Source organism: Homo sapiens, chromosome 5 (assembly GCF_000001405.40).
Source record: "Homo sapiens chromosome 5, GRCh38.p14 Primary Assembly".
NCBI classification, from domain to species: domain Eukaryota; kingdom Metazoa; phylum Chordata; class Mammalia; order Primates; family Hominidae; genus Homo; species Homo sapiens.
Window position 1 is genome coordinate 131,314,974 of NC_000005.10, and position 27,328 is coordinate 131,342,301.

The 27,328-nt window shown below is 39.1% G+C and overlaps 1 protein-coding gene across 11 annotated transcripts in view, besides 1 other annotated feature; it reads left to right on the plus strand.

Annotated features, from left to right (window-relative positions):
* The window catches only part of CDC42SE2 (CDC42 small effector 2), a 184,621-nt gene that overhangs the window by 104,922 nt on the left and 52,371 nt on the right, over positions 1–27,328 (plus strand). For 9 of the 11 annotated variants that reach the window (XM_047417396.1, XM_047417393.1, XM_047417394.1 and 6 more), the window contains one exon: positions 1,003–1,171. The exons of the other annotated variants lie outside the window; for them this stretch is intronic. The gene's annotated coding sequence lies outside the window, so the exon portion shown is untranslated. The remainder of the gene's footprint in view (positions 1–1,002; positions 1,172–27,328) is intronic. 11 annotated transcript variants of the gene reach the window in all.
* Positions 22,260–23,459: an enhancer, noted in NCBI's record as "BRD4-independent group 4 enhancer chr5:130672926-130674125 (GRCh37/hg19 assembly coordinates)". NCBI's record gives its function as "activates an origin of replication core promoter dependent on BRD2, P300/CBP, MED14 and CDK7 cofactors, and independent of BRD4, by STARR-seq in HCT116 cells {active_cell/tissue: HCT116}" and the evidence as "EXISTENCE:reporter gene assay evidence [ECO:0000049][PMID:35650434]".

Genomic DNA, 27,328 nt, shown 5'->3' on the forward strand with positions numbered 1-27,328 from the left:
AAGAATCTGTTCAAGTTATGTGTTTTGGAGGAAGAGCCAGTTGCCTTGGTGATGGCTTTGGGAGACAAGGAAGAGTATGTGGGACTTTATGTTTGTGGCTTGAGCGGAATATATGGATTATGGTGTGATTTGTTGAGATGACGAAGACTGAGGAAGCAGTGTATCTAGTATTGTCAATTCAGGTTGGACACGTTAGATTTTAGGCGTGTTTTGTCTACTGTGTTAAGGCTTATAGGTTTATTTGGACGCTTTTAGATGAACTATATCTTAGGTTAAAAACAGACCTGAGGTCACACAGCTAGTCATTTGCAGAATTTGAACTTCAGCTTCTGACTCTTAAGTCCATGTTTGTTATCCCCTTATGCTATATTATATCCTCAAGGCAGAGAAACATGCTTGGCTGTGACAATACTAAAATGTTCCCTGGGAGCTATTAGAAATACGTAGCAGAGTTTGCAAGCTCAGATGTCTGCAGGGTACAGACAAGTAATTGTGAGCCAGGTTGTAACATAAAGGAGAGTGGCGACTTCTGTGGAGAACTGCAGAGTCCCATCCACAGGGTTAGTTAGCTGCTAATCAGCTCCAGAAGATTGTTTCCATATGGGAATGTGGGGCCAGTATTGCCAGATATTCTGATTTTTCAAGAGAGGTCCAAAATCTGGATTTTCATGTAAAGTCCTGATTTATAAATGTAGGCAGTTATCCTTTAACCATGCAGACCAACCTAGTGTGGGTCCACCAAAGGTATCTGTCTGCTGGATTCTGCCCGGTGGGTAGATATAATGTGGAAGCAACAATAAATTTATATGGTGGGAAAAGTGTGTTAACTGTGTATAATAAGCACGTTATGGTGTTGAAATGCAGGTTGCTTAGGTTAAACATGGTGCTTAGTGAGCCTAGTGTTTGAGTTCAGTCTTTATATGGATCAGTTAATTATAGATGGGGGAGGGGGAATTGCTCTCTGTAGCTTTTTGCCTCCTAATTGCATGCTTTCATTTGCAGATAGGGCCAGATTTGAGTGTGTGAATTTTTGAGTGAAACCTGGAACCCAAATGAGAAGAAATCTGCAAGGAATAACTACTGACAGTGAATCTGCGGTCATCTGTATGCATAATATGGAATGTTCTTAACCCAGAAGTAGCTGAATGTGTTACTCCATTGCTGAGGAGTGGTAAGTCTGATAATCTCCACTGATAATTAAATAACCTAAACCCTTTCCATAAAAAGAGGATGACTACTTCTACATTCTTAGCATTTGCTGACATTAATTTTTATATTACAGAGGAGGACAGCAGTGCAGTTTAAGGGAATTCTTTATCCCTAACATCATGTTTAATGTCTGATTTCAGAGTTTGGCTTGCTTCTTCCAGTTAGGCACATCCTTTCCTTTGCCTAGGCATTTTTCTCTATTATTTGTTCTTCAGTCCGAGGCCTGAAATACTGTATTTGAAATATTCAGCCAGCGCTGAAATGATGGTCATGATAGTTACCAGCATCCATTTTAATCTTAGTTGTGGTAGGTCTCATTCTCTTTGGGAGTGATTGTTTTAGGAATGGACATGAGAAACAGTTTTGTCCAATGAGAGACAAAAGGGACATCTGCAAGAGGCTTTTGGGGAAATCTTTCTTGCTTTTGTGAAAAGGAAGAAAATAGATGGTCCCTCTTCTCCGCAGAGCTGATATTACGTAGATGTGATGTGTGGAAGTGCTGGAGCCATCTTTTTAGTAGCCTGAAGGTGGTGCCTTATGTGAAGGAGGGAGAACCAAGGGAACTGGAGAAAAGTAGAACTAGAGTTCCATTTACCATGCCTATAGCCTCTCTATCTGAATTTTCTTATTGTTTAAGCAGTTTTGCCTTGAGATTTCCTGTTATTTGCTATAGAAATTATCTAGATTTATTTGGTTTCTTCCTTTTTTGATTACTCAAAGCCATGTTTTTTAGTGTCGCACACATTTCTACTTGATCATGTTCTTTGTAGCCCCTTACAAGCTTTATGAAGTCAAGGGGTATGTTTATATTCCTATTGTATCTGACTCTAATACTTCTTAATGATGTCATCAATACATGTTTGCTTAACTGAATTACTTGATAAGTATTTGAAAAACCAATCCGTAGAATCTAATAATTACAGAGATTTTTTTTTTTAAATTCACATCCTTTTCTTTACCCACACTGCTTCCCTCTAGGATTATGAGTGAAGTTTGTTTTTTCTTTAAGACTTCCAGTATGTAACACATGTTCAAGTGGTTAGTTCTACTCCAGACAATGTTGCCTTTTGTTTTTGTCCAACTTTACCGTCAGAACCAGGTTCTCTCCTTTATGTTTGAGTATTGGCTTTCAATCTAATAAATGGAATTTCACTTTCTTCTTCATTATAAAAACAGAATAGTTTGCCTTCTATTTTCTGTGATAATTATAGGAATGAGGGACGTCAATAGTAAGAAGCATAATTCAGGAATAATTTGTATTTGGCTTTGGAATGCACATTCACAGAAAGATTCCCTAAAGTGTGCATCCCCACTCTGTTCTTAGGACTGTGTGTTTTGGGGGAGGTGGAGGGAAGTTTGGCGGTGATGTAGTAAGAGGGATCTTGGGCCATAGGATGGATGATCTAGTTGCTTATGTTTTAAAGCTCTGTGAAACAAATCATTTTTTTTTTTTGACCTGGCTCTAGATATAAATGTTTCTTTCTATCTTTTCTTTTAAATCTTGTTATTATAATCTTGAAAAAGTATGGAATGAGAACCTCTTTTTCTTCTTGAAAATCTGTGGTGTTACTTTCAGTTATGGTAAAAGGAAAAAGATAAAACCTGTGTTATGATTTTACCAGGTAATCTGGTAGTATATTTTGAATCCTTCAAAAAGAGATTTACATTCAGGGAAGAATTCACTTTTTTTTTTTCTTGATCGATTCTGATGAAAATCTGGGAGAATACCTTTTTTTCCTACTTCTTTTTTTGAGACAGGGTCTCACTCTGTTGCCCAGGCTGGAGTGTGATCTTGGCTCTTTGCCTAGGCCTATGTGTTTGAGCCCAAGATGCCAGGAACCTCTGCCTCCTGGGCTCAAGCGATCCTCCTGTCTCAGCCTCCCAAGTAGCTGGGACTACAGGTGTGCACCACCATGCCCAGCCAATTTATATTTTTTGTAGAGACAGGGTTTCACCATGTTGTCCAGGCTGGTCTTGAACTCCTGGGCTCAAGAGGTCTACCTGCGTTGGCCTCCCAAAGTGCGGGAACTGAAGGTGTGAGCCACCATGCCCAACCAGGAGAATAACTTTTTAAGAAGATAGAGAAAGTTGTATGATGCACTTTACCCATCAATTTAAATGCAGTAGTACCATTATTTAGTAATACAGGAAATTTAAATCATTAAGGTCAACTTTAATGTGCTGTATTTCATATATATTTTGTAGGAATGGAACATGTTTCCTACCTAAGACAGTCATGGCAGGCATGCACCTTAAGCTAGATCAAGCAGAGTGAATCTTAGGATATTTGCTAGGAATGCTGAGATGAAGGCACTTATTTTTATGAATTTCAACCTGAAAACATAGTTATTGAATTCCTGGCAGCTATCTTTTGACCATGAAAGGAAATTTAGTTGATTAAGAAGCCAACACTGAGTGAGTAGAGCAGAGAAAAGCCATGCCCTAGTTACTCCATTTGAGCTGCTGGATCAACCCTTCCCTGAAGCTGCTGTACCTCTAGACTTACAGTTGCATGAGCCACTAAATTTCATGTTTAATCCAATTGGCTTTGGATTTTGTCTTACATTTTTGTGAAAACTTTCTAGCTGATACATCTTTCTCAACCCTCAATTATACATCTGCATAATGAGAACTCAAGGGACTTAATAAAACTTGAATTGTGAGTTAGGTAAGGATGCCTCTGACACAGATGTGCAGGTTGGCAGATAATGCATTCTTTTTTTTCTTTTTTCTTTTTGAGACAGAGTCTCACTCTGTTGCACCGGCTGGAGTGCAGTGGCACAATCTCGGCTCATTGCAACCTCCGCCTCCAGGGTTCAAGCGATTCTCCTGCTTCAGCCTCCTGAGTAGCCGGGATTACAGGTGCCCGCCACCACTCCTGGCCAAGTTTTTTTGTATTTTTAGTAGAGACGGGGTTTCACCATGTTGACCAGGCTGGTTTCGAACTCCAGACCTCAAATGATCCACCTGCTTTAGCCTCCCAAAGTGCTGGGATGAGTTGGGGGTGTAAGGTAGGAGAAAGGTCGATATGACTTTTCCCCCCACCCTCAGTGCCTCACTTCATTCTGGTTTTCCAAGCCTGTAGTTCACCACTAATTTTGAGTTCTTGTATGGAATGGAATTCGAAACCACTTACTTCAGCTGCAGTTGTTTTCTTACCCTAGGGCCATAGAAAGTAGTTTGGAGTATAGTTTCTGCCTCTGTGAAGAAATTTTCTTGGTCTTCTCAACAAGGATAAATTTATATTGATATCTAATATAGTTAGGCTGTTGTACCCCCATAGACAGAGCTTGCACTCTGTATACTGGCTTCCTTTGCCCCTTAGCAAGCACCACTACTCTTTCCTTTGACATGCAGTATTGTTTCTCAAAAAGTAGATCTCTTATAGCAGAATCACCCAGGACCCAAAAGAATACTTAGAAACTGACCATCGTAATTCAGTATCTGAAAAATATTGTTCTCTTCCAGTCTGTAACATCCCGATAAAATTTTTAAAAGGATTTTTAAAGATTAGTTGAATCTAAAATTTATAAGGAAAAAAATAAGGAAGATTATCCAGAAAAATTCTTTAAAAGAATGAGCATTTAGGCCAGGCACGGTGGCTCACGCCTGTAATCCCAGCACTTTGGGAGGCCGAGGCAGGCGGATCACGAGGTCAGGAGATTGAGACCATCCTGGCTAAAGCAGTGAAACCCCGTCTCTACTAAAAATACAAAAAATTAGCTGGGCGTGGTGGCGGGTGCCTGTAGTTCCAGCTACTCGGGAGGCCAAGGCAGAAGAATGGCGTGAACCCGGGAGGCAGAAGTTGCAGTGAGCGGAGATCGCGCCACTGCACTCCAGCCTGGGGGACAGAGCAAGACTCCGTCTTAAAGAAAAAAAAAAAAAAAAAAAAAAAAAAAGAACATTTAAAAAAGGAACTAGGCTGGGCGTGGTGGCTAACACCTGTAACCCGAACACTTTGGGAGGCCAAGGCAGGTGGATCACTTGAGGTTAGGGGTTTGAGACCAGCCTGGCCAACATAATGAAACCCTGTCTCTACTAAAAATAGAAAAAAAAAAATTAAGTCAGGCGTGGTGGTGCATGCCTGTAATCCCAGCTACTCAGGAGGCTGAGGCAGGAGAATAGCTTGAATCTGGGAGGTGGAGGTTGCATTGAGCTGAGATTGTGCCACTGTACTCCAGCCTGCGTGACAGAGCGAGACTCTGTCTCAAAAAATAAGTAAATAAGATTAAAAAAAAAAAAGAATTAGTTCTTCTAGATATTAAAAATGTATTCTGGCCGGGTGGCAGTGGCTTATGCCTGTAATCCCAGCACTTTGGGAGGCCGAGGAGGGTGGATCATTTGAGGTCAGGAGTTTGAGACCAGCCTGGTCAACATGGTGAAACCCCATATCTGCTAAAAATACAAAAATTAGCCAGGCATGGTGGCGCATGCTTGTAATCTCAGCTACTTGGGAGGCTGAGGCAGGAGAATCACTTGAACCCGGAGGCGGAGGATGCAGTGAGCTGAGATTGCGCCACTGCACTCCAGCCTGGGCGACAGAGCGAGACTCTGTCTCAAAAAAAAATGTATTCTAAAATTACAGCAATTAATACATTATAATTCTGGTAGATAGATCAGTGGTACAGAATAAAAAGAGTCCCAAATTCATATGGAAATTTAGAATATGATGAAAGCACGTATCGGATCAGTGGAGAAAATTATTTTTTTTCTTTCTGGCAATATTATAGCTGGGTAGCCATCAGAAAAAATCAGATCCTTATCTTCAGAGGAAGAAAATGAATTTTTCCTCTTTATATTCTTGGAGTTAGGGAAGCCTTCTTAGAAAACGTGTTTTGAAAGAAATGTAGGTATTCTAATGCCTTATTAGAGGGAGTATAAGTTGGCACATTCCTTTAGGAGATTGGAAAACATCTGCCAAATTTAAAATGCCTACTGAACATTTAAATGTACATGCTCTTTAATACATCAGTTTCACTTCTTGGAATTTATCTTATGGTTAAATTCTGTAGCTTTTGGGTTTAGTTCATCGTATTCTCACTTGTGTGAATATACAGGGTTAGTTTTTGCAGTACTGTAATAGTGAAGTATTAGAAACAACTCAACTTCCGTCTGTGAAAGATGACCTATATCAGTATGATACAAATGCAGCCTTTAAAACTTAAAAGAGGCAGTTTTTTAAAAGTTACTGATATTAGCTGGGTGTAGTGGCACATGCTGATAGTCCTAGTTATTTGGGAGGCTGATAGGGAAGGATTGTTTGAACTCAGGAGTTCAAATCCAGCCTGGGTAACATAGATCTCATCTCTTTAAAATGGTACTGATATTGCCTGATTTCTAAGATAAAGTGTTAAGTGAAAAAGGTGCCCGTGATGTATAATGCTACATAAAAATATTTCAAAAAAGAATATACATATATGCTGGTATATTCATAAAGTATCTGTGAAAGGCTACACAAGAAGCTAATATTAGGGGCTGTATTGAGGGAAGACAACTGGGTGGGTAGGATAATGGTGGGAAACTTAATTCTATCTTCCCCCCCGCCAAAATCATCAAGCGTCGTACTGGGTAAAAGGAAAAAAGGGATTCACCTAATTTTCATCTTTTTCAATTTGTTAGAATCTCCAAGGGTGAGGTCACCCCCAATCTACATTAGAAATGTTTTTTTTGTTTTGTTTTTTGTTTTGAGACGGAGTCTCGCTGTGTCGCCCAGGCTGGAGTGCGGTGACGCGATGTCGGCTCACTGCAAGCTCCGCCTCCCGGGTTCATGCCATTCTCCTACCTCAGCCTCCCAAGTAGCTGGGACTACAGGCACCCGCCACCACGCCTGGCTAATTTTTTGTATTTTTAGTAGAGACGGGGTTTCACCGTGTTAGCCAGGATGGTCTCGATCTCCTGACCTCGTGATTCACCTGCCTCGGGCTCCCAAAGTGCTGGGATTACAGGCATGAGCCACCACGCCTGGCAGAAAAAAATTTTTTTTATAGTAGTGGTAAAAGACACATAAAATTTATCATCTTATCCATTTCTGAGTGTACAGTTGAGTAGTGTTAAGTATGTTCACATTGCTGTGCAGCCAATCTCTAGAACTTTTTCACTTTGCAAAACTGAAACTCTGTACCCATTAGATAACAAATTTTCATTTCTCCCTATTGCCATCCCCCAGTACCCACATACTTTATGATTCTATGAATTTGACTACTTTAGATTCCTCATGTAAATGGAATCATACAGTATTTATGTTTTTGTGACTGGCTTATTTCACTTAGTATAGTGTTCGTAAGGCTCATCCATTTTATAGCATGACAGGATTTCCTTCCTTTTTATTTTTATTTTTTATTTTTAAAAGAGATTAGATCTTGCTTTATTGCCCAGGCTGGACTTGAAGTCGTGGGCTCAAGTAGTACTCTGGCATCAGTCTTGTAAGTAGCTGGAAGTACAGGCATGTGCCACTGCCCTTCCTTTTTAAGGCTCGATAATATTCCATTGTATGTTTGTTTATCTGTTCTTCTGTTGGTGGACATTTGGGTTGCTTCTACCTCTTGGCTGTTGTGCTACCTCTTGGCTAGTATGAATGTGGGTGGGCAAATATGTCTTCAGGGCTCTGCCTTCAGTTTTTCCAAATATATCCCAGAAGTAGATAGTATTTCTGTTTTTAATATTTTGGGGACCTGTCATAATGTGTTCTCTATAGCAGTTGCACCATTTTACGGTATCACCAACAGTGCACAAAGATTTCCTCTTCACATCCATGTCAGCATTTATTTTCTGTGTGTGGTTTTTGTTTTGTTTTGTTTTCTTTCATAGTAGCCATCCTAAGGGGTGTGAGGTGATCCCAAATATTTTTTTTTCTTCTTTCTTTTGAGACAGGCTTTCACTCTGTTGCCCAGGCTCGAGTATAATGGACAATCGTGACTCACTGCACCCTCAACCTTCTGGGCTGAAGCAGTCCTTCCACATTAGCCCTCCAGGTAGCTGGGACCACAGGCATGTGCCACCACACCTGGCTTTTTTTTTTTTTTTAGTAGAGACAGTGTCTCTCTATGTTGCCCAGTGTCATCTCAAACTCCTGGGCTCGAGCAATCCTTCCACCTTGGCATTCAAGTGTTGGGATTACAGGCATGAGCCACTGTGCCCGACCCCCAATCTATATTTTTAACAAGTATTTTAATTATATATTTCTTCTATATTTAAAAAGCTTATGAAGTTATGAAGTACATTTAAGTTAATGATTTCAGTTTTATTACTAAAAAATACAACTAGTAGCCACTTTTTAGAATTGTATCTGAATGTGCTTTGTTTCTGTAACTTGAAGTGCATGTTTTATAATGAGATCCTCAAGGGATTGTACCTCTCTCTCTCTGGTTTTTTTTTTTTTTTTTTTTTTTTTTGTATTTAAATGTGAGTCACCTAGGGAACAGACTAGGATATGTGTACTTAACCCTAGGTAATTTTGCTAACCTTAATTCTTTTCTCTGACACAGTTAAAATTCTAAGGTTCTGCATGTTAGAATTCCAGTAGTGTACCAACATCTAAAATAATGTGTTTTAATGAAAAACTCTGTGTCATTTTACTTTACATGAGAGGATTTGATCTGTTTGTTTACTTTTAATTGAAAATAGGTTTATCTTTATGGTCTTGACAGTTGTGTGTTAACTTTTCTCACAAGATGAATTTAATCATAAATTGTTCAAGAGCAAGATCAGTTGTTAAGAATTTTATCCAGAGACAAAAGTACATGAGATTCTAGTAAAAAATGGAAAGGAATGTAAATTGTCTTTAAATTTTTTCCTGCTTTTTCAAGAAAATTTTAGGGGTGTGAGTGTTCTACAACAAAATTAATAGCTTATAAAGTATTTTACATTTTGAGTAAATTACTTGCAGTTCTTGTTTTTCTGACTTGAAGTTTCTGAAATTATTCTGAAATTGTTATTGCAGAGTACCTATTTTTTCTTCCAAGTATTTATTCTTTAGAAGTATTATTTCTAAAATCACATCACTGTATGAATATCCAGCTGTAGCCTGTGACTACATTATGAGTATTAGAAGTCATTTTTTAATAACTTTTGCCAGACCTGAAGGTTCATTACTGTGCAGCTCTCTCCTTCATGGCTGTTTTTATTTGGATATTTAAGGGTGAGCTGCTGTCTTCATTATATTTGGTGTGTGACTTGGTAGAGAAGGGCACAAGTAGTGGTATGGCTTGGGAAGGGTGGGAGTTTAATCCTCATTGTGAGTTTTGAGAAAAGATAATGAAATCCTTTATATCCCTTTCCGTAGACCTGCATTTCAAAGACTTACATTTTAATAAGAATTAGTTGTGCAGCTGCAACCCTGGCAACAAGGCCTAGGAGAAAAGAATTGGGGCAGCATTCCAGAAATCAGGGCAGGCACTGGTCTCATGTGGGACTGAGCTAATGAAACATAAAAATATAAAGCATGTAGTAAAAATAAGACCAATACTTTCTTTGGCATGGTAGATACTGACATTTTTCCACACATTTTTTTTAAAAAGTCCAAAAGCTCATAAGCTGCACATTCAATAAGAGTAGCTATATTATCTTCTCCTTTAGTATAAAAAAATACCCCAGATACTCTTGGAAGTTAATATTTCTGTGAATTATATCCAAAATGTAATTGTTCTTGGCCCACTCTTGGTGAAGTCCAGACGTTTTCAAAACATGGGGTACGAAATTTGTCAGATAAAGTTTAGAAACAAGGTTTTAGGTTTTAAACTTTAAAAATCAAATGCTCATATCAGTTTTAATGTAAATTTCTCATAGTTACTGGACTCTTTAGATGCCCTTAAATAATAAAATTTGTTAAATATATTCTCTGAATACTGTGACAATGGCTACATAATCTATTATCTAACCATAATTTAATTATTACCTGGTTGTTACGTGTTTAGGTTGTGTTGGAGTTTTCCCTCTTATAATAAGAAATATTGCAAGAAAACATTTTTGTGTGTATAGGTATTTTGCTTTCTTTTGGACTAGTCAGGATTACTTTTGGATTTCCAGAAGTGATAATGATGCATTAAATGTGAAAATTTTGAATACTTTCTAAAAGCACTACCAATCTACACAGCTACTATAGTGTGTATGCAGTTGCTAGTTTCTCTGCTTCTTTATCAACATTGAATATTTGAATAGATATGAAATGGTAGTTGAATTTTTTAATTTTTCACTTTTTAAATTAGAAACTTGGAATATTTTAAAAGCAGCTTACCAGCTTCCCCTTTGTGGATTTTAAAATTTGCGTCCTTTTCCCATTTATCTATTGGAGATCCATTAAGTGGTTTTTTTTTTTTTTGAAGTAGTAGTCCTAAGAATCTCTCAAAATTGAGTGTGGTAAACTTCCTATTCATTCTGTACACTCATAGCAAATGGTATAATATGTGCCAGGCTCTATTTTAGCCTGAACAAAACAGCTGATGTAGTTGCAAACTCCTAGAGCTAAAGGGACTCTTAAATATCATGTTCATTTTTTACCCAAGGAAACTGAGGTCCCATCTCATGTTATATGATCAGTAATTAACCTTAGAGAATGGTGGCTGAACTGGAATTAAAGTTCTGTCAGCAATGTTGCCTCCCTACTATTCCATATATCTCTTCTTTCCTCTTCCTAATATGATAATCAGATTTCCCTTTCACTACATACTGCTTCTTCTATTGTATTTGTAGATTCCCATTGGTTTAAGCAAATCAGCCTAATCCTAGTCTTGGTTCAAGGAACCTGTTGGCTCATGCCATTACTTTGGTCACAATAATTGGTTCAGGAGTGACCAAGTCAGCAAAAATTGATCCAGTTAGAGGGTAGTCTTGAATTTTCATTACTGTTAACGTCTGAGTATTTTAAAATTTTCTTAATGTTTTTACGTTTTAATCTGAGTTAGTAATATATTTAGTTTACAAACGAGATTTTTTTTTTTTTTTTGAGACGGAGTCTCGCTCTGTCCCCCAGGCTGGAGTGCAGTGGCGCAATCTCAGCTCACTGCAAGCTCTGCCTCCCGGGTTCACACCATTCTCCTGCCTCAGCCTCCAGAGTAGCTGGGACTAAGGGCGCCTGCCACTGCGCCTGCTAATTTTTTGTATTTTTAATAGAGACGGGGTTTCACTGTGTTAGCCAGGATGGTCTCGATCTCCTGACCTCGTGACCAAATGAGATTTTTAAAACCATCTTTTTGTCATTAATTTCTAGTTTTATCCCATTATTGTAAGATAATGCAATGTGTATGGTTATTGATCTTGTGTTTTGGGCCATGCTTTTTGGGCTATTATATGACCTATCTGTGTATATGCTATGTGCTTATGCAAATAATATGTATTCTCTGATTTTATTGCTTGGATCTTCAATATATCTGCTTATACTGTTTTTGATCAGTTGAGTGTTAATATTTCCAACTGCAATTGATTTTAGCTTTTTCTCCCTCCATTTTCTACAGTTGTTTCTGACATATATTGAGACTTTGTTTGATGTGGATGTGTTCATGATGATTATGTGGTTTTGTTCTACTATTTTTATAAATATGTAATATCTCACTTTGTCCTTCTTGATATTTTTTACCTTAAATTTTGTTATATTTATTTTTTATTATGTTTATTTTTTTAGGGAGACAGAATCTGCCTATGTTGGCTAGGCTGGTCTTGAACTCCTGGACTCAATCATTCTGCCTTGGCCTCCCAAAGTGCTGGAATACAGGCATGAGACCATGGTTGGCCTGCCTTAAATTTTATTAAGATTGCTATGTTAGCTTTGTTGTGGTTCATATTTGTTTGGTTTATCCTTTCTTAAGTATTACTCATATTGCTCTGTCATTTTTTAACCTGGCATAAAAAATGTTTTATACTAATTTGTCTTTAAATTGGCAAGTTCAACTCATTTACATTATTGTAATTACTGTTCTAATTGGGTTTAATTTTCATCCCTTTCCCTTTTGACTAACTCCATTCCTGCTTTTCATTGGGTAAGTTGAAATTTTTTCTATTTTTGTTCTTATGATGATTGCCCTTTAGACCCATTCCTCAGTTTACTTCTGTATATTTCTTACTTTTAAAATGGCTTTTTCTTCCCCTAAATATGACAGATACTCTAGCATTCTCATACGTTCTTTTAATGTGTCTCCTGACTCCCCATCCCCAGTGAGTATATTGCTGGTATTTTAGATCACTTTTTATGGCTACTAAGGCATTTGACTACTTTTACTTTCTTTATCTCTTGGAGTGCTTTCTTTATCTCTTGGAGTACCTCCTATATTTCTTTTTCTTTTGAGTATTCTTCCAAATGTGCAGTTAGTGGGCTTTATGTGACCCTCTGAGGCTTTGTATGTTGAAAATATTTTTGTCTTAACATCATATTGGAATGATGTTTTGGATGTAAAATTCTAAGTTTAAAGTTACTTTAATTCAAAACTTTTAAAATACAGGTCAAGAGTCCCTTTCCTGGTATTCTAAAACCAAATAATCAAAGGGTTTTTCATAATTTATTTGACTACAACACACAAACCAAACTGGTATGAGGCTACTTACGGATTTTATTCATCTCATTTAGTGTTAATGTTTATAGATTTTGCTTCAAGATATTAATGAGTTAAATTATGGGTTAGTGCCTTAGATGCTGTTGTGGATGTTACATAATATGTGATATACATACAAACACCATATTATCTTTATATACTCTGAAAAATCATTGTTTTGGTCTGTTTTGTGCTGCTATAACAAGATACCACAGACTGGGTAATTTATAATGAACCAGAAGTGTATTGGCTCATGGTTTGGGAGGCTGGGAAGTCCAAGATCAACGGGCCAACATGTTGCTGTGGCAGAAGGCAGAAGGGAGAGAGAGAACATGAGTGAGAAGATAGAACTCCCCTTTTTATAATGAACCCATTGAAATGGGGCACATAGTCTTAAATATGATGACAGCATTAATCTTTTGGGGATTTGGTTTCCAATGCATGTTTTTTTGGGGGATACATTCAAACCATAGCAATTCTGAATTCTGAAAAAACCCCTGCTGCAAGGATTATGGATAAAGGATTGTGGATTTACACTACCCCATCCTGTGTCCAGTGTCACTTTTTGTGATATCTAATATTAATCTTATTCTTTTACTTTTGGCATTACTGTGTTCTTTTTTTTCCAGCCTTTGAGATTTTTTTCTTTGATAATCTTAAATTTTCTAGGAATGGGCTCTTCTGTTATTTGGCTGTTTGAGGCTTTACATTCTTCACTTCTTTTATCTTTAATTCTGGGAAGTTATTATTTCTTGAAATGTTTATTCTTCCCTAGAAATGTTTCATTTCCCTCCCTCTTTCTGGAACTCTGTTACCTGGATATTGTCTGTTTTACATATTCAGTATTTCTACTTGATCCTTTTTCATGGTTTCCTGTTTTGGCTTCATATACTTATATCTTCCATTGACTTTCTAGGGACACATTCTTGGATCATTCATTCCAGTAATACTGCTTCAGATGGCATAAGTTGTTTAGTGAGTCATCCTTCTTTCACAGTAGTTTATGTTATAGATGTGTCTATTTGTCTGTGTCCCTTGCGGGGTATTAGTCACTTAGTCTAATAATATCTGTTAGGGAATTTATGTCCAGGTGAGTTTAAGGAAAGGAAGGACTTGGGACCCAGGTCAAATAGCCGCCACCTGGCACCATTGAAGTGCTGTCAAGTTCTGTTGGCTGCTACTGCATCAGGCAAATTCTGATTGGGATTTGTTTTTACACTCATATAAATAAATAATACTGGATACTGGAAAGAGGTTATCTCCTTAGATTATAACTCACTACCAGCCCTGTAGCTCCCCTGCCCCTTGTACAAGGTGGGGGCACAGAGAGGGGCGGGAAGAGTGAATGCCAAGAGGATGGCTTATTAGTCTGTGTCTGCTTTCCTGAGCTTTCCTCTCTAAGGCTTCTGTGCCACCCTGATTTTAAACTGCTGACAAAGACATCTAGGCTGTTGCTGCCAATTTCTGTGGCTAAGGGGCAATCAAGGGGGAGGGAAAGGCAAAATCTTAAAGAGCTTTTAGCATATCTCTCTTTTAAGTCCTACCTCTGCTTCCCTTTGCTTCAGGCTCCAGGTTACCAGTTTCCTTTCAGAAAAGTTAAGTACAGCTTTTGGTATCACCAGCAGTTTTTGTTCCCTTTTGTTGTTGCTGCCATTATTGTTCTTGGAATCCAGATTTACTTCTGTTTTTTTCTTCCCTACGGTTGATTTTGTTGGAAGGGACCAGAAGTCCATGACAGTTGTTCCTCTTGGTAAGAATTGGATGACTTCATTTGATCCAAGAAAGATAGTTAAACAAGATTTCCTCGAAGCACATAAAAATCTTTAATTGAAGAGTATAGGCATACAAAATATACACAAGCTATATGAAAATAATCATAAGAATTAAGAGTTCCAGGCTGGGCGCGGTAGCTCACACCTGTAATCCTAGCACTGTGGGAGGCCTAGGTGGGCGGATCCCCTGAGGTCAGGAGTTCAAGACCAACCTGGCCCACATGGTGAAACCCCATCTCTACTAAAAATACAAAAATTAACTGGGCATGGTGGTGGGCCCCTGTAATCCCAGCTACTTGGGAGGCTGAGGCAGGAGAATTGCTTGAACTCGGGAGGCAGAGGTTGTAGTGAGCTGAGATTGTGCCATTGCCCTCCAGCCTGGGCAACAAGAGTGAAACTCCATCTCAAAAAAAAAAAAAAAAAAAAAAAAAAAAAAAAAAAAAAAAAAAGAAGAAGCGCTCCAGTTATCTATCACTGTATAACAAACTACCTCAAAATTCAGTGGCTTAACCAACAATTATTCTATTATATCTCTCAATCATGAAGGTCAGGAATTTGGGCAAGTCTTGGCAATTCTTCTCTTAAATGTAGCATCATCAGCTAATGGTATTCAGCTAATAGGTGGGCAGGACTGGAGGATTCTAAGCAGCTTTATTTACACGTCCGGTGATTTGGCTAGGAAGGCTGGAAGGCTAAGCTCAGTTGGGCCTATGTCTGCGCCATGGTCTTTCCAGCATGACGGTTTTAGGGTAGTTGGAATCTGAGCAGAAGCTATAAAGCTTTTTATGACGTTCTAAGATCCAAGCCTTGTTCTGTAGTCAAACAAGTCTTACTAAGGTCACCTGAATTTAATGTAGAGGAATTTGGAGGAATAACCAAGAATAACTAATACCACACAAGGTTATTAGAGTTTTTTTTTCTGTTCCTGATTGTTGCTTTTAGGAGAATGTCATTAGTTCTTGGCTTCTTAGGGAATCTTTTCCTTATCCCTCCCATCTGAAGGGGATTCCCTGTAGTAGAGGGATATCATGTACTTCTTTTTCAGTTCACTTTTATAATAATATTTTTCCCCATGACAGTGGTTCCCAACTGGGGGAATCACTCTCCAGGGGCATTTGGCAGTGTCTGGAGACATTTTTGGTTGTCACAACAGGTGGAAAGGGGTACTGTTCGTGTCTAGTGGATAGAGGCCAAGGATGCTGCTAAATATCCCACAATGCACAGGACAGTGCCTGCAAGAAAGTACTATCTGGGCTGGGTGCAGTGGCTCATTCCTGTAATTCCAGTAATCCCAGCACTTTGGGAAGCCAAAGCAAGAGGAGCACTTGAGTCCAGGAGTTCGAGACTAGCCTGGGAAACATATAGACCCTGCCTTTACAAAAAAAAAAAAAAAAAAAATTTAAGTAGCTTGGCTTGGTGGTGCATGCCTGTAGTCATAGCTACTCTAGAGGCTGAGGCGAGAGAATTGTTTGAGCCCAGGAGGTCGAGGCTGCAGGGAGCCGTGATTGCACCATTGCCCTGCAGCCTGGGTAACAGAGCGAGACCCTCTCTCAAAAAAAATAAAATTATCTAAATGAAAATGTCAGTAGCACTGAGGTTGAGAAATCCTGCTTTAGAGCAATCCTGGAAAGTTGGTATAATTCTCATAAATGAAAACTTTGATTCAGAGAGGCTATTGAATGTCACTTATCTAATCAGTTGTGAAATCTATTTTGAACACAGGTTTTGCCAATGTCAAATTCACGGAAATTCTACGTACTATATATTTTTTATGTTGGAATTAATGTATTAAGTATTTATTTGTAAATACTGAGACAAGTTACCAAGTCAAATGCAACAGAGAATGTTAATTCACATTCTACCTCAATAATGCTTATAAGAATCAACATAATTATAATTTAAAATAACATTGAAATAGATTAAACTAACATTTCCCTATATTCTTAAAAAAGAATAGAGAGAAAATGCTCTGTCTTAAATTACTGTGTCTGAGCTGTGGGTTCATCATTTCCAAAGTAAGGATAATACCGCTTAGGATTACAAAAATTAAATGAGATTATATTTGTCAAAGTATATAGTGAAATATATGATTAACATTCAATTTTTTTTCCACATCATGGCTTTATAATCTAGTTGGACTTTTCTTTATAATCTAGGGAAATTTTCTATCTGTGATTTTTTAAAATGTAGAACATACAAAAAGAACAGAGAATCCAAGAATACTGAATCTCTTATTTGACCCACTGTGATTTGTGTAGGTTTATGGACCAGAAAGGAGAAATAGTTCATGTTCTTTGACAACTGGTTAGTATTTTCTGTTTATGAAATCTTCCACATCATAACATCATTATCAAAGCTTTCTATTATTACAGGCTCTTTTTTGAGTATGAAAATAAAGATCATTTCAAATACCACATTTAAAAACATTTTTCTCCAATATTGTTCACGATTCTGACTGTACAGGGTTATACAAAAACCTTGAACATTTATTTATTTATTTTTTATTGTTATACTTTAAGTTTTAGGGTACATGTGCACAACGTGCAAGTTTGTTACATATGTATACATGTGCTGTGTTGGTGTGCTGCACCCATTAACTTATAATTTAGCATTAGGTATATCTCCTAATGCTATCCCTCCCCACTCCCCCCACTCCACAACAGTCCCCGGTGTGTGATGTTCCCCTTCCTGTGTCCATGTGTTCTCATTGTTCAATTCCCACCTATGAGTGAGAACATGCGGTGTTTGGTTTTTTGTCCTTGCGATAGTTTGCTGAGAATGATGGTTTCCAGCTTCATCCATGTCCCTACAAAGGACATGAACTCCTCCTGTTTTATGGCTGCATAGTATTCCACGGTGTATATGTGCCACATTTTCTTAATCCAGTCTATCATTGTTGGACATTTGGCTTGGTTCCAAGTCTTTGCTATTGTGAATAGTGCCACAATAAACATACATGTGCATGTGCCTTTATAGCAGCATGATTTATAATCCTTTGGGTATATACCCAGTAATGGGATGGCTGGATCAAATGGTATTTCTAGTTCTAGATCCCTGAGGAATTGCCACACCAACTTCCACAATGGTTGAACTAGTTTACAGTCCCACCAACAGTGTAAAAGTGTTCCTATTTCTCCACATCCTCTCCAGCACCTGTTGTTTCCTGACTTTTTAATGATCACCATTCTAACTGGTGTGAGATGGTATGTCATTGTGGTTTTGATTTGCATTTTTCTGATGGCCAGTGATGATGAGCATTTTTTCATGTGTTTTTTGGCTGCATAAATGTCTTCTTTTGAAAAGTGTCTGTTCATATCCTTTGCCCACTTTTTGATGGGGTTGTTTGTTTTTTTCTTGTAAATTTGTTTGACTTCATTGTAGATTCTGGATATTAGCCCTGTGTCAGATGAGTAGGTTGCAAAAATTTTCTCCCATTCTGTAGGTTGCCTGTTCACTCTGATGGTGGTTTCTTTTGCTGTGCAGAAGCTCTTTAGTTTAATTAGATCCCATTTATCAATTTTGGCTTTTGTTGCCATTGCTTTTGGTGTTTTAGACATGAAGTCCTTGCCCGTGCCTATACCTGAATGGTATTGCCTAGGTTTTCTTCTAGGGTTTTTATGGTTTTAGGTCTAACCTGTAAGTCTTTAATCCATCTTGAATTAATTTTTGTATAAGGTGTAAGGAAGGGATTCAGTTTCAGCTTTCTACGTATGGGTAGCCAGTTTTGCCAGCACCATTTATTAAATAGGGAATCCTTTCCCCATTTCTTCTTTTTGTCAGGTTTGTCAAAGATCAGAGAGTTGTAGATGTGCGGCATTATTTCTGAGGGCTCTGCTCTGTTCCATTGGTCTATATCTCTGTTTTGGTACCAGTACCATGCTGTTTGGTTACTGTAGCCTTGTAGTATAGTTTGAAGTCAGGTAGCATGATGCCTCCAGCTTTGTTCTTTTGGCTTAGGATTGACTTGGCGATGCAGGCTCTCTTTTGGTTCCATATGAACTTGAAAGTAGTTTTTTCCAATTCTGTGAAGAAAGGCATTGGTAGATTGATGGGGATGGCATTGAATCTATATATTACCTTGGGCAGTATGGCCATTTTCATGATACTGATTTTTCCTACCCATGAGCATGGAATGTTCTTCCATTTGTTTGTATCCTCTTTTATTTCATTGAGCAATGGTTTGTAGTTCTCCTTGAAGAGGTCCTTCACATCCCTTGTAAGTTGGATTCCTAGGTATTTTATTCTCTTTGAAGCAATTGTGAATGGGTGTTCACTCATGATTTGGCTCTCTGTCTGTTATTGATGTATAAGAATGCTTGTGATTTTTGCACATTGATTTTGTATCGTGAGACTTTGCTGAAGTTGCTTATCAGCTTAAGGAGATTTTGGGCTGAGATGATGGGGTTTTCTAGATATACAATCATGTCATCTGCAAACAGGGACAATTTGACTTCCTCTTTTCCTGATTGAATACCCTTTATTCCCTTCTCCTGCCTGATTGCCCTTGCCAGAACTTCCAACACTATGTTGAATAGGAGTGTTGAGAGAGGGCATCCCTGTCTTGTGCCAGTTTTCAAAGGGAATGCTTCCAGTTTTTATCCATTCAGTATGATATTGGCTGTGGGTTTGTCATAGATAGCTCTTATTATTTTGAGATATGTCCCATCAACACCTAATTTATTGAGAGTTTTTAGCATGAAGGGTTGTTGAATTTTGTCAAAGGTCTTTTCTGCATCTGTTGAGATAATCATGTGGTTTTTGTCTTTGGTTCTTTTTGTATGCTGGATTACGTTTATTGATTTGCATATGTTGAACCAGCCTTGCATCCCAGGGAGGAAGCCCACTTGATCATGGTTGATAAGCTTTTTGATGTGTTGCTGGATTTGGTTTGCCAGTATTTTATTGAGAATTTTTGCATCAATGTTCATCAAGGATATTGGTCTAAAATTCTCTTTTTTGGTTGTGTCTCTGCCCGGCTTTGGTATCAGGATGATGCTGGCCTCCCTAAAATGAGTTAGGGAGGATTCCCTCTTTTTCTATTGATTGGAATAGTTTCAGAAGGAATGGTAACAGTTCCTCCTTGTACCTCTGGTAGAATTTGGCTGTGAATCTATGTGGTCCTGGACTTTTTTTGGTTGGTAGGCTATTAATTGTTGCCTCAATTTCAGATCCTGTTATTGTTCTATTCAGAGATTCAACTTCTTCCTGGTTTAGTCTTGGGAGAGTGTATGTGTCAAGGAATTTATCCATTTCTTCTAGATTTTCTAGTTTATTTGCGTAGAGGTGTTTATAGTATTCTCTGATGGTAGTTTGTATTTCTGTGGGATGGGTGGTGATATCCCCTTTATCATTTTTTATTGGGTCTATTTGATTCTTCTCTCTTTTCTTCTTTATTAGTCTTGCTAGCGGTCTATCAATTTTGTTGATCTTTTCAAAAACACCAACTCCTGGATTCATTGATTTTTTGAAGGCTTTTTTGTGTCTTTGTTTCCTTCAGTTCTGCTCTGATCTTAGTTATTTCTTGCCTTCTTCTAGCTTTTGAATGTGTTTGCTCTTGCTTCTCTAGTTCTTTTAATTGTGATGTTAGGGTGTCAATTTTAGATCTTTCCTGCTTTCTCTTGTGGGCATTTAGTGCTATAAATTTCCCTCTACACACTGCTTTGAATGTGTCCCAGAGATTCTGGTATGTTGTGTCTTTGTTCTTGTTGGTTTCAAAGAACACCTTTATTTCTGCCTTCATTTCATTATGTACCCAGTAGTTATTCAGGAACAGGTTGTTCAGTTTCCATGTAGTTGAGTGATTTTGAGTGAGTTTCTTAATCCTGAGTTCTAGTTTGATTGCACTGTGGTCTGAGAGACAGTTTGTTATGATTTCTGTTCTTTTCCATTTGCTGAGGAGTGCTTTACTTCCAAGTATGTGGTCAATTTTGGAATAGGTGTGGTGTGGTGCTGAGAAGAATGTATATTCTGTTGATTTGGGGTGGAGAGTTCTGTAGATGTCTATTAGGTCGGCTTGGTGCAGAGCTGAGTTCAATTCCTGGATATCCTTGTTAACTTTCTGTCTCATTGATCTGTCTAATGTTGACAGTAGGATGTTAAAGTCTCCCGTTATTATCGTGTGGGAATCTAAGTCTCTTTGTAGGTCACTTAAGGACTTGCTTTATGAATCTGGGTGCTCCTGTATTGGATGCACATGTATTTAGGATAGTTAGCTCTTCTTGTTGAATTGATCCCTTTACCATTATGTAATGACCTTCTTTGTCTCTTTTGATCTTTGCTGGTTTAAAGTCTGTTTTATCAGAGACTAAGATTGCAACCCCTGCCTTTTTTTGTTTTCCATTTGCTTGGTAGATCTTCCTCCATCCCTTTATTTTGAGCCTGTGTGTTTCTCTGCACATGAGATGGGTCTCCTGAATACAGCACACTGACGGGTCTTGACTCTTTATCCAATTTGCCAGTCTGTGCCTTTTAATTGGAGCATTTAGCCCATTTACATTTAAGGTTAGTATTGTTACGTGTGAGTTTGATCCTGTCGTTATGATGTTAGCTGGTTATTTTGCTCGTTAGTTGATGCAGTTTCTTCCTAGCCTTGATGATCTTTACAATTTGGCATGTTTTTGCAGTGGCTGGTACCAGTTGTTCCTTTCCATGTTTAGTGCTTCCTTCAGGAGCTCTTTTAGGGCAGGCCTGGTGGTGACAAAATCTCTCAGCATTTGCTTGTCTGTAAAGGATTTTATTTCTCCTTCACTTATGAAGCTTAGTTTGGCTGGATATGAAATGCTGAGTTGAAAATTCTTAATTCTTTAAGAATGTTGAATATTGTCCCCCACTCTCTTCTGGCTTATAGAGTTTCTGCCGAGAGATCTGCTGTTAGTCTGATGGGCTTCCCTTTGCGGGTAACCCAACCTTTCTCTCTGGCTGCCCTTAACATTTTTTCCTTCATTTCAACTTTGATGAATCTGACAATTACGTGTCTTGGAGTTGCTCTTCTCGAGGAGTATCTTTGTGGTGTTCTCTGTATTTCCTGAATTTGAATGTTGGCTTGCCTTGCTAGATTGGGGAAGTTCTCCTGGATAATATCCTGCATAGTGTTTTCCAACTTGGTTCCATTCTCCCCGTCACTTTCAGGTACACCATTGAGACGTATATTTGGTCTTTTCACATAGTCCCATATTTCTTGGAGGCTTTGTTCGTTTCTTTTTATTCTTTTTTCTCTAAACTTCTCCTCAAGCTTCATTTCATTCATTTCATCTTCCATCACTGATACCCTTTCTTCCAGTTGATCGCATCGGTTACTGAGGCTTGTGCATTCGTCACATAGTCCTTGTGCTGTGGTTTTCAGCTCCATCAGGTCCTTTAACGACTTCTCTGAGTTGATTATTGTAGTTATCCATTCATCTAATTTTTTTCAAAGTTTTTAACTTCCTTGCCATTCGTTCGAACTTCCTCCGTTAGCACAGAGTAGTTTGATCTTCTGAAGCCTTCCTCTGTCAGCTCGTCAGTCATTCTCTGTCCAGCTTTGTTCCGTTGCTGGTGAGGAGCTGCGTTCCTTTGGAGGAGGAGAGGCGGTCTGATTTTTAGCGTTTCCGGTTTTTCTGCTCTGTTTTTTCCGCATCTTTGTGGTTTTATCTACTTTTGGTCTTTGATGATGGTGACGTACAGATGGGTTTTTGGTGTGGATGTCCTTTCTGTTTGTTAGTTTTCCTTCTAACAGTCAGGACCCTCAACTGCAGGTCTTTTGGAGTTTACTGGAGGTCCACTCCAGACCCTGTTTGCCTGGGTATCACCAGCGGTGGCTGCAGAACAGCGGATATTATTGAACCGCAAATGCTGCTGCCTGATCGTTCGTCTGGAAGTTTTGTCTCAGAGGAGTACCCGGCCACATGAGGTGTCAAGTCTGCCCCTACTGGGGGGTGCCTCCCAGTTAGGCTGCTCGTGGGTCAGGGACCTACTTGAGGAGGCAGTCTGCCCGTTCTCAGATTTGAAGCTGCATGCTGGGAAAACCACTACTCTCTTCAAAGCTGTCAGACAGAGACATTTAAGTCTGCAGAGGTTATTGCTGTCTTTTGTTTGTCTGTGCCCTGCCCCCAGAGGTGGAGTCTACAGAGGCAGGCAGGCCTTCTTGAGCTGTGGTGGGCTCCACCCAGTTCGAGCTTCCAGGCTGCTTTGTTTACCTACTCAAGCCTGAGCAATGGCGGGCACCCCTCCCCCAGCCTCGCTGCTACTTTGCAGTTTGATCTCAGACTGCTGTGCTAGCAATGAGCGAGGCTCCGTGAGGGTAGGACCCTCTGAGCCATGTGTGGGATATAATCTCCTGGTGTGCCGTTTGTGAAGCCCGTTGGAAAAGCACAGCATTAGGGTGGGAGTTACCCGATTTTCCAGGTGCTGTCTGTCACCCTTTTCTTTGACTAGGAAAGGGAATTCCCTGACCCCTTGCACTTCCGGGGTGAGGCGATGCCTCGCCCTGCTTCCGCTCACGCACAGTGCGCTGCACCCACTGTCCGGCACTCCCCAGTGAGATGAACCCGGTATCTCAGTTGGAAATGCAGAAATCACCCATCTTCTGCGTCGCTCACGCTGGGAGTTGCAGACTGGAGCTGTTCCTATTTGGCCATCTTGGCTCCACCCCCTTCATGAACATTTTTTAAAAAGTTATTATTTAGTAACTGTGTTATATATGAACAAGTAATCACCACCAGTTTGTAAAAGACAACCACAGTTATTTTTGTACTGGCCAGTAGGCACCTCTTGTTAACACCAGCACATGGCAGTCCTGTGGTCTGATTCATCCCAAACCCTTCGTAGCATGTCATCAGTGATAGCTGGAGTGATAGCCATGATGAATGCCATCAGTTCCTCAAGTCTACATGGCGGTCCCAACTCTAGTTTTGTATTGTTTTGTTTATATAGCCTCACTAGAAATATAATGGCCTGATAGATGGGAATCTAGGCGGCTAGTGTTTCGTAGGCAGTTCAGAGTTTTGAGCAGAATGCCTGTCTACTACCATGATAGGTATTCATTAAAGAATCTCTGCAACTGTGATAGAAATGAGGTAGAGCCCCATCCTGTTGGCAAATGAAGTTGTAGAGTTGTTGAGACTTCATTTTCTAAGCAATATATGTTTACTCATTTAATCCTCACATAAATCTTTGAGAAAATACTACCATAAGCTCCATTTTGTAGAGCAGCAAACTAGAACATACAAAGATTAAGTAACTTGCCCAAGATCCTAGAGATACTGAGCGGAGGGATCCAGAATTCAAACTTAGGCTGTGTAGTTTCAGAGTCTTACGTTCTAAACCAGTACACCATACTGCCGATCCAAATATGTACCTACATACCAGTGTGCAGTATGAACATATAATATCCATGTGGTACAGGAATCTCAAGCCAAGGAATTAAATTAAAATGTACACTGCAACTTGTGAGCCTGACCTTGTGAATTTCGAAGCAGTAGCAAATGTGAACTGCTCTTTAAGAATGCTTGTTCAGGCCGGGCGTGGTGGCTCACACCTGTAAACCCAGCACTTTGGGAGACCGAGGCGGGTGGATCATGAGGTCAGAAGATCGAGACCATACTGGCCAACATGGTGAAACCCCGTCTCTACTAAAAATAGAAATAAATTAGCTGGGCGTAGTGGTGCACGTCTGTGGTCTCAGCTACTCGGCAGACTGAGGCAGGAGAATTGCCTGAACCCAGGAGGTGGAGGTTGCAGTGAGCTGAGATCGCACCACTGCACTCCAGCGTGGTGACAGAGTGAGACTCTGTCTGAAAAAAAAAAAAAAAAAAAAAAAAAAGAATGCTTTTTCAAACAGAGAGACCTGGACTTGCACAGGAAAAACAGTTTCTATGGTAAGATAATGATAAGGAAACAGTCCAACATGAGAGAGAGTCAGACAAAAAGGGTAATTAGAAGATTATGAATTGACTTAACAGAATAATCAGAAAAACATATCTATTTAAAATGTCTAAATAAACGACTAAGACACTATAGTAGGTCAATTTGTAAAAGAGCCAAATAGAACTTATTAAAATGAAAATTATCATTTGGCCAAGCGCGGTTGCTCATACCTGTAATCCCAGGACTTTGGGAGGCTAAGGCGGGCAGATCATCTCAGGTCAGGAGTTTGAGACCAGCCTGGCCAACATAGTGGAACCCCATCTCTACTAAAAATACAAAAATTAACTGGGCGTGGTGGTGGGCGCCTGTTGTAGTCCCAGCTACTTGTGAGGCTGAGGCAGGAGAATTGCTTGAACCCAGGAGGTGGAGGTTGCAGTGAGCCAAGATTGTACCACTGCACTCTAGCCTGAATGACAGAGCAAGACCCCATCTCAAAAAAAAAAAAAAGAGAGAGAAAATTATGATCATTGAACTAAAAGAGTCATGGAGAAAATTAATAGGTGGGTTAAATAGCAGAATAGAAACAGGTAAAAGTCCTAAATATATAAAAATGAATCTGAAACTAGAGATTCTGTGAAATCAGAGCCAAGTACGAAGACAATCTTCAAAACACCTATCACAAAAAAAGAATTTTGTATTCAAATGACCAAGAATTAGATTGATAGTCTACTTTTCATCAGCAACAATAGAGGTCTTCTGCAAAGAACTGAAGGAAAAGCACTGTCAACCAAGAATTCTATACTTCGCTAAACTGTCGTGCAAGAATAAAGGAAAAAATACAGTAGTCCCATTTTATTCGTGGTTTTGCTTTCTTTGGTTTCAGTTTTTGGCCAACTGTGGTCCAAAAATATTAAATGGAAATTTTTAGAAATAATTCATAACTCTTAAATTGCAGCCATTTTGAGTAGCATGATGAAATTTTGAACCGTCATGCTGTGTCTCATCTGGAACATGTATCATCCCTTTGTGCAGTGTATCTACTCTATATGCTACCCGTCGGTTAATGTGTAGGCAGAAACATAATTTATGTAGAGTTTGGTAATATTTATGGTTTCAGGCATACACTGAGGGCCTTGGAGCATTATCTTTCATGGTTAAGAGGGAACTACTGTATAGATATTCTTTTAACAGCGTATCTGGGTGAAGGATACATGGGAGATTTCTGTTCTGTATTAGTAACTCGGCTGTAAGTTTGAAATTATTCCAAAATTACAATTAAAAACTGCAGTCTTAGACAAACAACTGAGAAGCTTACCACCTTCTCAGTTAACCATTAAAGAGCACATATTACTGAAAAATTGTTTGAGTATCTTTTTTTTTTTTTCCAAGACAGAGTGTCACTCTGTCATCCAGGCTGGAGTGCAGTGGCATGATCTTAGTCCATTGCAGCCTCCAGGTGCAAGCGATTCTTGTGCCTCAGCCTCCCAAATAGCTGGAATTACAGGCATGTACCACCATGTCTGGTTAATTTTTGTCTTTTTAGTAGAGTCGGGTTTGACCATGTTGGCCAGGCTGGTCTCGAACTCCTGATCTCAAGTGATCTGCCTGCCGTAGCCTCCCAAAGTGCTGGTATTACAGGCACGAACCACCATGCGTGGCCTGAGTATGTACTTTCTGAAGAAGGAAGTTGAACTTCAAAGGAAGGATTGAGAGGCAAGAAGCAATAATCAAATCAATTGGCAAATTTGGAAAAATATTAATCATCAGCATCATTGTGTACTTACTGTATACTAAGTGTTTTGTTTAATTTTCACAATAGTCCCATGGTATAGGTACTATTATTTTCCTGGACAACATTTTCCAGTTTGAAAGAGGTCATTCAGACCCCAGTACAATGATGAAAAAGGACCAAACCAAGTAACATCTCTGTGGCATTTGAGAATTCCAAGAGTTAAGGAAAAAAATGTTTAACTCTTCTAGAAGGGAAATACATCACACACAAAGGAAGGAAAATTGGAATGTCATCAGACTTCTCACAACCCTGGAAGTTAGCAGATACTGAAATAGTGTCTTTAAAATCCTGAGGGAAAGATTTTTGTCTTGGTATTCTATATTCAACTAAACGATCAATCAAATATCAAATGTAAGGAATTAAAACATTTTCATTCTGTGTCCCACTTCTTAGGAAGCCAGGGGAGTATGTGTATGATTTTACAACATAAGTGAGAAGGATGAGAAGAGGAAGACATGATTCACAGAAACAGAACATACCAACTTAGAGCAGTTAGGATTGAAGCAAGAGGCTAGGAAGAAACCAAAAGAATATTTGAATCAGTACATCTATTAATATGTTCAGGTATTTGGAAATTACAGGTGTTTTACAGATCTGATATAGGTACATAAAAAAACTAAGCAATTAAAAAAGCTTAGCAGTTATTCAGAGAAAACAAAAGATTATTTAAGAAAAGATAGGACGGCTGAGGTAGGAGAATCGTTTGAACCCAGGAGGTGGAGGTTGCAGTGAGCTGAGATTGTTCCACTGAACTCCAGCCTGGGCAACAGAGCAAGACTCTTGTCTCAATAAAAAAAAAAAAAGATAGCTAATTATACCAAGTAGTCTAAAAATTGATAATTTGAGAAGTAGCAATGGGCATCTTACTTACAATTATAAAAGTTAATACCACGCTGGGCACGGTGGCTCATGCCTGTAATCCCAGCCCTTTGGGAGGCTGAGGTGGGCAGATCAGGAGGTCAGGAGATCGAGACCATCCTGGCCAACATGGTGATACCCCATCTCTACCAAAAATACAAAAATTAGCTGGGTGTCGTGGTGCATGCCTGTAATCCCAGCTACTCGGGAGGCTGAGGCAGGATAATCACTTGAACTGGGGGGGTGGAGGTTGCAGTGAGTTGAGATTGTGCCACTGCACTCCAGCCTGGTGACAGAGTAAGACTCCTTCTCAAAAAAAAAAAAAAAAGGTAAAT